Raw genomic sequence first — 12,121 nt, forward strand, 5'->3', positions numbered from 1 at the left:
TTATAAAAGATATTAGTTGCTAGAACAGGACGGACGGTCAGATGAGATATCAAAAAAGTGTCTAATTACAATATTCACTGAGAGTTAAATGACAAATAGTATCCATTTACTGGATACTTATGACATGTCAGGCATAATGCTAAGTGCTGTTCATGAATGATCTCATTTAATTCTTACAAAACTCTATATGGTCAGTACTATTATTGTCTGTCTTCAATAGATAGGGAAACTGAGGTTGAAAGATGTTCAATAACCTCTCTAAGATCACAGAGCTAGAATGCAGATGGAAAGATACTGTTGGCCACCCACCCAACAGCTATTTCTTCCTTTTTTTATGCAATGAGAACCCCAATGTTTTTCATCATGGGAGGCAGGAGAAGGCACACAGTCCCTCCCCAGCTACAGGGGGTGACCTTTAGTTGGTCTAATTCAATTATGGTGATGTCCTTTCCTTTGCCAAGTAGTTGGCTCAAGCATGAGAATGAAACATAATTTTGTCTAACGAGACATGGGAAATTCACTGTGGAGCTCCTGGAGAGCTTATTCATGTTCTTAGACATTTTACCCTTTGTCTGCCTTTAGATGCTGTGGTGTGAAGTTGGGGTGTGTGGTACTCTTGAAGGCATCAGGCTGAGGTGAAAGGAGAAAACCAAAGAACAAAGGTAACATTCTAAGGATGGCTGAATGGACAGATGAAAAGACTGTGCTGGATTAACCAATCCTAATGTGTCCGGAATTGGTGGGTTCTTGGTTTCACTGACTTCAAGAATGAAGCCGCGGACCCTCTCCGTCAGTGTTACAGTTCTTAAAGGCGGCGTGTCCGGAGTTTGTTCCTCCTGATGTTCAGATGTGTTCGGAGTTTCTTCCTTCTGGTGGGTTCGTGGTCTCGCTGGCTCAGGAGTGAAGCTGCAGACCTTCGCGGTGAGTGTTACAGCTCTTAAGGCAGCGCATCTGGAGTTGTTCCTTCCTCCCGGTGGGCTCATGGTCTCGCTGGCTTCAGGAGTGAAGCTGCAAACCTTCGCGGTGAGTGTTATAGCTCATAAAAGCAGTGTGGACCCAAAGAGTGAGCAGTAGCAAGATTTATTGCAAAGAGTGAAAGAACAAAGCTTCCACAATGTGGAAGGGGACCGGAGCAGGTTGCCACTGCTGTCTGGGGCAGCCTGCTTTTATTCTCTTTTCTGGCCCCACCCACATCCTGCTAATTGGTAAAGCCGAGTGGTCTGTTTTGACAGGGTGCTGATTGGTGCGTTTACAATCCCTGAGCTAGACACAGGGTGCTGATCGGTGTGTTTACAAACCTTGAGCTAGATACAGAGTGCCAATTGGTGTATTTACAATCCCTGAGCTAGACATAAAGGTTCTCCACGTCCCCATCAGACTCAGAAGCCCAGCTGGCTTCGCCCAGTGGATCCCGCACCGATGGAGCTGCCTGCCAGTCCTGTGCTGTGCGCCTGCACTCCTCAGCCCTTGGGTGGTTGATGGGACTGGGCGCCATGGAGCAGGGGGCGGCGCTCGTCGAGGAGGCTGCGGAGCACAGGAGCTCACGAAGGGGGTGGGAGGCTCAGGCATGGCGGGCTGCAGGTTCGGAGCCCTGCCCCGCGGGAAGGCAGCTAAGGCCCGGCGAGAAATCGAGCGCAGCGCCTGTTGGCTGGCACTGCTGGGGGAGGAACCCAGTACACCCTCCGCAGCCGCTGGCCCGGGTGCTAAGCCCCTCACTGCCTGGGGCCGGCAGGGCCGGCCGGCTGCTCCGAGTGCGGGGCCCGCCAAGCCCACGCCCACCCGGAACTCCAGCTGGCCCGCAAGCGCCACGCGCAGCCCCGGTTCCCGCTGGCGCCTCTCACTCCACACCTCCCTGCAAGCTGAGGGCGTCGGCTCCCGCCTTAGCCAGCCCAGAAAGGGGCTCCCACAGTGCAGCAGTGGGCTGAAGGGCTCCTCAAGTGCCGCCAAAGTGGGAGCCCAGGCAGAGGAGGCGCCAAGAACCAGCGAGGGCTGTGAGGACTGCCAGCACGCTGTCACCTCTCACTAACACCAACCTATCTCAGGATTTACAAGAGAAAATAAATACTCTTATCACTTAAACCACTTTTAGTAGGTTTTCAGCTATCTGTTGCTGAATGCATCTTTACTGATAAAGTGAAAATGCTAGGATTTAAAGCCAGGTTACCACTACAAAAAATTGAAGGAGACAAGGAGGCAATTGACAGATTAATTCAAGCAGGATAATCAAGCCAACTGTACTGTTAGGGAGAAAAATGGTGTTTAAAATTATTAAGGGGTGGCTTGGAGTTATGAGAAGTGGAAAAAGAGTTGTGACTGTATATTACTTGTATGCATTTTTTCATTTACTGGCCAATGATTCAACTCTGCTTGTCCAGGCTTATGTAAATGCAACATGTGAGACATCTTACCAAGATAAGTGATACTGGAAAGGAGAGTATGTAAACGGAACTATAAGATAGGAGATAGGTGAGGCCATTCTGATTATACATGAATACTATTAAAACTCCTATCTCAGGCTGATGGTACTAGGATTAGATTAGGGTGTGGTGTCTCCAGCTTGGACTTGGGCGGCTGGGCTGGCTGGAACTTAACGCTAGGTCAGAAATTCTCTGTAATTTCTGAACCCCTAGTGGTTCTTGAGTTCCTTTCAGGGTCTCCATGAGGCCAAATCTATTTTCAAAATAATATTAGTATTTGCCTCTTTTCAATCTCAATATCTGGTGAGTGAATAGTGAAGTTTTTCATCATTGCATGAAATGTGGTATTACAAAAGATTCAAAGTGAAAGCAGATATGAGAATCCAGCTGTGCTCTATTAAGCCAGATATGTTAAAATTTGCAAATCTGTAACACAATGTTATTCTTTTCAATAAGTTTTTTTGAAAATATGATTTCTTCATGAAAAGATGCCATTTATATTAACACAAAATTAGTTTATTATTGTCATTTAAAAATAAATAAGGAAATACATATTTAAAAATTGTCAGTTTTAATTTCCAATATGGGACCTTCAATAGTGAAAAACAACATAAAAAATTTTTTGGGTCGTCAATAATTTTTTTATTTTTTTTTGAGACAGAGTCTCGCTGTGTCACCGAGGCGGGAGTGCTGTGGCGCGATCTCTGCTCACTGCAACTTCCGCCTTCTGGGTTCAAGCGATTCTCCTGCCTCAGCCTCCTGAGTAGTTGGGATTACAGTCACGTACCACCACTTGCAGCTAATTTTTACATTTTAGTAGAGACAGGGTTTCACCATTTTGGCCAGGCTGGTCTCAAACTCCTGACCTCAAGTGATCCACCTGCCTCAGCCTTCCAAAGTGCTGGGATTACAGGCATGAGCCACCACGTCCAGCCTCAATAATTTTTAAGATTCTAAAAAGTCCTGAGACTGAGAAGTTTGGGTACATTTGGTTTAGGCCTTGATGCTTAATGCTAAAAGAGAAGGGACAGTTGTAAAAGATGTATCTTAACATGAAGAGAAATGGAAATTAACAAGGCTCAAACTTATTTTTTAAATGGAAGGGTCTAGCTATAGAGGGAAAACCTAGGAAAAGAAGCTGCAGGACACATATTAATGAAACCAGAGAAAAGTGGAGATTCTATGTTGATTAATGCTGGGGGTGTGGTAGAGAAGTAAAATGTAGGGTGCAGGATTTGTTTTGTTTTCATTTTTAATTTTTTCCAGTTTTATTGAGGTTTAATATTGTTTAACAAACAAAAATTGTGTATATTTAAGGTGCACAACTTGATGTCTTAGTGTACCTAGGCATTGTGAAATGTTTACTACAATCAAGCTAATTATCATATCTATCAACTCACATAATTAACTTTTTTTGGTGAAAACAATATTTACTCAAGAAATTTCAAGCATATGATACAGTATTATAAACTGTAGTCTCCATGCTGTATATTAGATCTCCAGAACTCGTTCATCCTGCATAACTGAAACTTTGTACCCTTTGACCAACATTTTCCCATGTCCCTGGTAACTACCATTCTACTTTCTTCTTCTAAAAGGTCAACTTTTTAAGATTCTACATACAAGTAAGATCATGCATTATTTGTCTTTCTGTATATGGCTTGTTTCACTTAGCATAATGTCTTCCAGTTTTGTTCATATTATCATAAATGAGAAAATTCTCTTTTTTTACAAACTGAATAATATTCTATTGTATATGTAGATATACACCACATTTTCTTTCTTCATTAATTCCTTGATGGACACTTAGGTTGATTCCATATCTTAGCTGTTGGTAATAATGATGCAATAAACATGGGAGTGCAGATATCTTATCAACATACTGATTTCATTTTCTTTGGATATATACCCAGAAGTGGAATTGCTACATTATATGATAATTCTATATTTAGTTTTTGGAGGAAACGTTATACTGTTTTCTATAATTGTACTAATTTAAATATCTGCCAACAGTGAACAAGGGTTCCCTTTTCTCCACATCCTCGCCAACACTTGTTATCTTTCGTCTTTTTGATGATAGCCATTCTAATATATGTGAAGTGGTTTCTCATGCATTTCCATGATGATTAGTAATGCTGAGCACCTTTTCAAATATCCGTTGGCAATTTGTATGTCTCCTGAGAAATGTATATTCAGGTGCTTTGCTCAATATTAACTTCTTATCAGATGTATCACTTGAAAATATTTTCTTCCATTCTGTAGGTTATCTCTTCACTCTGTTGATTGTTTTCCTTGCTGTGCAGAGATTTTTGGTTTAATGTAATACCATTTGTCTATTTTTACTTTTGCTCTCTGTGCTTTTGACTTCATATTCAAAAAAATCATTGCCAAGATCAATGTCATGGAGATTTGCCTATGTTTTTTCTCTGGTAGTTTTGTAGTTTCAGGTCTCTTGTTTAAGCCTTTAATCCATTTTGAATTGATTTTTGTATACGGTGTGAGATGAGGGTCTAATTTCATTCTTTTGCCTGTAGATGTCCATTTGTTCCAACATCATTTATTGAATAGACTGTCCTTTCCCCATTGTGTGTTCTTGGTATCTTTTTGAAAATTAATTGGCTATAAGGCATGGATTTATTTCTGAGGAGTCTTATTTTTGTTCCATTGGTTGATGTATCTGTTTTTATGTCAGTACCATGCTGTTTTCATTTCTATAGCTTTGTAGTATATTTTGAAACCAGGCAATATGATGCCTCTGGGTTTGGTTTTTGCTCAAGATTGCTTTGGCTATTCAGAGTCTTTTGTGGTTTCATACAAATTTTAAGATTGTTTTCTATTTCTCTGAAAAATGTCATTGAACTTTTGATAGGGATTCCATTGAATATATAGATTGCTGTTGGTTGTATGGACATTTTATCAATATTAATTCTTCCAATTCCTGCACAGTGAATATATTTTCATTTATAATGTCTTCTTCAATTTCTTTCATCAATGTTTTATAATTTTCAGTGCACAGGTTTTTAACTTTCTTGGTTAAATTTATTCCTATTTTATTATTGTTTTGATAGTTTTTATAGATAGTATTGCTTTCTTGATTTCTTTTTTGGATAGTTTGTCGTTAGTGTATAGAAATGCTACTAATACTTGTATGTTGATTTTGAATCCTGAAATTTTCTTGAATTTATTTATTAGTTATAACAGCTTTTTGGTGGAGTCTTTAGGTTTTCCTATATATATAAGATCTTGGTGTCTGTAAACAGGGACAATTTAACTTCTTCTTTTCTAATATACTTTGATGACTTTTAGTTATTTCTCTTGCCTAATTTTTCTGATAGGACTGCCAGTACTATGTTGAATAGAAGTAGCAAGAGTAGGCATTGATGTCTGGTCATAAAGGTAAAGAGTTCAACTCTTCACTGTGGAGGATGATGTTAGCTGTGGGCTTCTCATATATGGCCTTTATTGTTTTAAGGTACATTCCTTCTATACTTAATTTGCTGAGAGTTATTGTCATGAAAGAATGCTGAATTTTGTAAAACGACTTTTTTGCATCTATTGAGATTATTATATTGTTTTTGTCCTTTATTCTGTTAATGTGTTATATTACATTTATAGATTTCTATATGTTGAACCAACCTTGCATCCCTGAGATAAGTCCCACTTGATCATGATGAATGATCCTTTTACAGTGCTGTTGGATTTGGTTTGCCAAAATTTTGTTGAGAATTTCTGTAACTATGTTAATCAAGAATATTGGCCTGCAATTTTTCAATTCTTTTTAAAAAATTTATTATTATACTTTAAGTTTTAGGCTACATGTGCACAATGTGCAGGTTAGTTACATATGTATACATGTGCCACAATTCTTGAAGTGTTTTTGTCAGGCTTTGGTTTCATAATAATGCTGGTCTCATAAAATGGGTTTGAAAATATAACTTATTTAACTTCTTGGAAGAGTTTAAGAAGGATTGGTATTAGTTCTTTAAATGTTTGAGTAGAAAACAGCAGTGAAGCCTTCAGGTCCTGGGCTTTTCTTTGATGAGAAACTTTTTATTAATGATTCGATCTCTTTATTGCTATTGATCTGTTCAGATTTTCTTTTCTTTTTTGACCTGGGTATCACTGACGAAGTTCAGATTTTATTTCTGCATAATTGTCTTGGTAGGTTTTATGTGTCTAGGAATTTACCCATTTTTTTTTCTAGGTTATCCAATTTGTTGGTGCTTAATTTTTTCTAATAATTTATTAAAATCCTTTGTATTTTGATGGTATTAGTTATAATGTCTTCTCTTTCATTTGAGATGATTATTTTGCATTCTTTTCAGGTAATTCACAGATCTCCATTTCTTTCGGGTTGGTTATTAGAGATTTGTTTTCTTTTTTGATTGTGTTTTGTTTTCTTTAATCTTCATGCTTTTTATAGGTTTGCCTTGTCATCTGTGCATTTGAATAAGCAACTACCTTTCCCAATCTTTATGGAATAATTTTGACTGGGAGAGACCTTTACTGGTCAGCAGTACTTAATATGAGGCAAGACAGAAAATTATTCCTTAGTGAGCATACTGTTAAACTGAGGGCAAGGCCCCCTTATACCCTTACCTCCCTTCTGGAGGAAAAGCCTCAGTTCTGTGCTTTTCTCCAATTATACAGAGCAGTGCCAGCTGTAAGGGGATGCTCACTCTTTTCCTTTATTCTTAGCTGTCCTAGGAGACCAGGATCTCTAGGTTATTTAGTGTACAGCTTTAGGTGAGTTAAAAACCAGCTCCATGGAGGGTGCACTGGGGTAGGAATAAGCTTCCTTTTACTTCTTTCCTCCCATATGGAAGGAAAACCTCAATTTTGCACCTATTCCCAATCTTGCAGAGCAGTACTGGTATAAAAGGCTCACCTTCCTCTTTTCTTTGTTTCTAGATGGCCCTGGAGATGGGATCTACAGGTTGTTCAGTGGTTAGTATTAGGAGGTATAGAAATCAGCCCCAAGGAGGGCTCCTGAGAAGTCAGGAGGCAAGGCACTCAGACACATGCTCCGATCTCACTTTTCCTCCTATAGTAGAAGTCACAGGCCTAGGTGATCTTAGTGCTAAGCTAAGCCTGTTTGGAGGGACTGATGCAGGTAAAATAAAATTGTTCTTTTATCCATATGAATGTGACTACTTTAAGTTTGTTCTTTTCTAGAGTGCTTTTAGCTAGCTGGATTCTGAGTTTCTCTTCAAGGTATTTTTGTATTAATATCATTGTTTTATTGATGTTTCTAAGGAGGAATGAGAGGTAGAAATTTCTACTCTGTCATTTGCTCACAGGATTTTTTTTTCCAGGAAAACTTGTGGCTTCCAAGTGGATGAGGAGGACTGTGAAGCAGTTATCCCTGCTGAGTTAGCTTAAACAGGAATTCTGGATTAAATACTGCAAATTGAAACCAACCAGAATAAAAAAAATCCGTAATTATTTGAGTTATAAGTATTACCCAGAAGATATAATGAATGTAAATCATATAAATTAGAAACTTCTTGTCCTAATTCTGGCTATTTGAATAAGTTGAAAGTCTGGTCTTATTTCAATTCACAAGAAGCTTGCCAATGGGATTAGGTGCTTTAGGTGTAGATTGTTTTTATACCAGGTGGCCACATTACAAAGTGACCTTTTTACACAGACTTTTCAGCTGAAGGACTTTTAAAACTCCTTACTGAAATGTTTTCAAAGCAAGTGAAACCATTGTCCTGCTTTTGAACATTGAGCACATGAAAACCTTGTGAAAATAGTTCATTGGGAATTTCTAAGCTGAGAGAATACTTGGTGTTTCCCAATTCGCAGAGGAAAATGCAGAACCCCTCTGGAGGGACGTTTCTTCAATGCGTGGCACACAAGATTCCATAGATAAAGCCACAATGAAGATAAGCTCACATTTCAAAATTACAGCACACTAGACAAACAATAAACTGTGAGTGACAGTATACCAATTAATAGAACTGTCACATGGTGACTGTCAAATATGCATAATTAAAATGATGTAACAGATGGAATAAAATCATAAAAGTATTCTGAATTAGAATAGGGATTTCAAAAATAGTAAAATATGACTTTTAGAAATGGAAATATGTAAGAATTGAAATTAGTAGGTTAAATATATTAGATAAGACTAACAAGAAAGTTAATGTACTAGAAGAGAAATCTCAGGAAGTTATCTGGAAAGCACTCAAAAGAAAGAAAATGTTGGAGTTAAACGTCCCTGTCTGACAGCTCTGAAGAGGGCAGTGGTTCTTCCAGCATGGCGTTCGAGCTCTGAGAACAAACAGACTGTCTCCTCAAGTGGGTCCCTGACCCCCATGTAGGCTGACTGGGAGACACCTCCCAGTAAGGGCTGACAGACACCTCATACAGGCAGGTGTCCCTCTGGGACAAAGCTTCCAGTGGAAGGATCAGGCAGCAATATTGGCTGTTCTGCACTATTTGCTGTTCTGCAGCCTCTGCTGGTGATACCCAGGAAAACAGGGTCTGGAGTGGACCTCCAGCAAACTCCAACAGACCTGCAGCTAAGGGACCTGATCGTTAGAAGAAAAACTAACAAACAGAAAGGAATAGCATCAACATCAACAAAAAGGACATCCACAGCAAAACCCCACCTGTAGGTCACCAATATCAAAGACCAAAGGTAGATAAAACCACAAAGATGGAAAGAAACCAGAGCAGAAAAGCTGAAAATTCCAAAAACCAGAGTGCCTCTTCTCCTCCAAAGGATTGCAGCTCCTTGCCAGCAGCCGAACAAAACTGGATGGAGAATGACTTTGAAGAGTTGACAGAAGTAGGCTTCAGAAGTTCGCTAATAACAAATTTCTCTGAGCTAAAGGAGCATGTTCTAACCCATCACAAAGAAGTTAAAAACCTTGAAAAAAGGTTAGACGAATGGCTAACTACAATAAACAGTGTAGAGAAGACCTTAAATGACCTGATGGAACTGGAAACCACAGCACGAGAACTTTATGATGCATGCTCAAGGTTCAATAGCTGATTTGATCAAGTGGAAGAAAGGATATCAGTGATCGAAGATCAAATTAATGAAATAAAGCAAAAAGACAAGATTAGAGAAAAAAGAGTAAAAAGAAATGAACAAAACCTCCAAGAAATATGGGACTATGTGAAAAGACCAAATCTATGTTTGACTGGTGTACCTGAAAGTGACAGGGAGAATGGAACCAAGTTAGAATACTCTTCAGGGTATTATCCAGGAGAACTTCCCCAACCAAGCAAGGCAGGCCAACGTTCAAATTCAGGAAATACAGAGAACACCACAAAGATACTCCTTGAGAAGAGCAACTCTAAGACACATAATTGTCAGATTCACCAAAGTTGAAACAAAGGAAAAAATGTTAAGGGCAGCCAGAGAGAAAAGTCGGGTTACCCACAAAGGGAAGCCCATCAGACTAAGAGCAGATCTCTCTGCAGAAACCCTACAAGCCAGAAGAGAGTAGGGGCCAATATTCAACATTCTGAAGGAAAAGAATTGTCAAACTAGAATTTCATATCCAGCCAAAGTAAGCTTCATAAGTGAAGGAGAAATAAAATCCTTTACAGACAAGCAAATGTTGAGAGATTTTGTCACCACCAGGCCTGCCTTACAAGAGCTCCTGAAGGAAGCATTAAACATGGAAAGGAACAACCCATACCAGCCACTGCAAAAACATGCCAAATTGTAAAGACCATTGATGCTAGGAAGAAACTGCATCAATTAATGGGTAAAACAACCAGATAACATCATGACAGGATCAAATTAATACATAACAATATTAACCTTAAATGTAAATGGGCTAAATGCCCCAATTAAAAGACACAGACTGGCACATTGGATAAAGAGTCAAGACCCACCAGTGTGCTGTATTCAGGAAACCCATCTCATGTGCAGAGACACACATAGGCTCAAAATAAAGGGATGGAGGAAGATCTACCAAGCGAATGGAAAGAAAAAAAAAAAAAAAAGCAGGGGTTGCGACCCCAGTCTCTGATAAAACAGTCTTTAAACCAACAAAGATCAAAAGAGAAAAAGAGGGCCATTACATAATGGTAAAGGATCAATTCAATAAGAAGAGGTAACTCCCCTAAATGTATATCCATGCAATACAGGAGCAACCAGATTCATAAAGCAAGTTCTTAGAGACCTACAAAGACACTTAAGCTCCCACACAATAATAATGGGAGACTTTAACACCCCATTGTCAATATTAGACAGATCAATGAGACAGAAGGTTAACAAGGATATCCAGGATTTGAACTCAGCTCTGCACTAAGTGGACCTAATAGACATCTACAGAACTCTCCACCCCAAATCAACAAAATATACATTCTTCTCAGCACCATATCTCACTTATTCTAAAATGGACCACATAATTGGAAGTAAAACACACCTCAGCAAATGTAAAAGAACAGAAATCACAACAAACTCTGTCTCAGACCACAGTGCAATCAAATTAGAACTCAGGATTAAGAAACTCACTCAAAACTGCACAACTACATGGAAACTGAACAACCTGCTCCTGAATGACTACTGGGTAAATAACAAAATGAAGGCAGAAATAAAGATGTTCTTTGAAACCAATGAGAACAAAGACACAATGTACTAGAATCTCTGGTACACACTTAAGGCAGTGTGTAGAGGGAAATTTATAGCACCAAATGTCCACAAGAGAAAGCAAGAAAAATCTAAAATCAACACCCTAACATCAAAATTAAAAGAACTAGAGAAGCAAGAGCAAACAAATGCAAAAGCGAGCAGATGACAAGAAATAACTAAGATCAGAGCAGAAATGAAGGAGATAGAGACACAACCCTTCAAAAAATCAATGAATCCAGGAGCTGGTTTTTTGAAAAGATCAAATAAATAGACCACTAGCAAGACTAATAAAGAAGAAAAGAGAGAAGACTCAAATAGATGCAATAAAAAAATGATAAAGGGTTGTCACCACCAATCCCACAGAAATACAAACTACCATCAGAGAATACTATAAACACCTCTATGCAAATAAACTAGAAAATCTAGAAGTCATGGATAAATTCCTGGACACATACACCCTCCCAAGACTAAACCAGGAAGAAACTGAATCTCTGAATAGACCAATAACAGGCTCTGAAATGGAGGCAATAATTAATAGGCTACCAACCAAAAAAAGTCCAGGACCGGATTGACAGCCAAATTATATCAGAGGTACAAAGAGGAGCTGGTATCATTCCTTCTGAAACTATTTCCAATCAACAGAAAAAGAGGGAATCCTCCCTAACTCATTTTATGAGGCCAGCATCATCCTGCTACCAAAGCCTGGCAGAGACACAACAAAAAAGAGAAATTTAGACCAATATCTCTGATGAATATCGATGCAAAAATCCTCAATAAAATACTGGCAAACCAAATCCAGCAGCAAATCAAAAAGCTTATCCACCACGATCAAACTGGCTTCATCCCTGGGATGCAAGGCTTGTTCAACATACGCAAATCAATAAAAGCAATCCATCACATAAACAGAACCAATGACAAAAACCACATGATTCTCTCAATAGATGCAGAAAAGGCCTTTGACAAAATTCAACAGTCCTTCATGCTGAAAACTCTCAATAAGCTAGGTATTAATGGAATATATCTCAAAATAATAAGAGCTATTTATGACAAACCCACAGCCAATATCATACTGAATGGGCAAAAACTGGAAGCATTCACTGTG

The sequence above is a fragment of the Homo sapiens genome, chromosome 1 (assembly GCF_000001405.40).
Source record: "Homo sapiens chromosome 1, GRCh38.p14 Primary Assembly".
NCBI classification, from domain to species: Eukaryota; Metazoa; Chordata; class Mammalia; order Primates; family Hominidae; genus Homo; species Homo sapiens.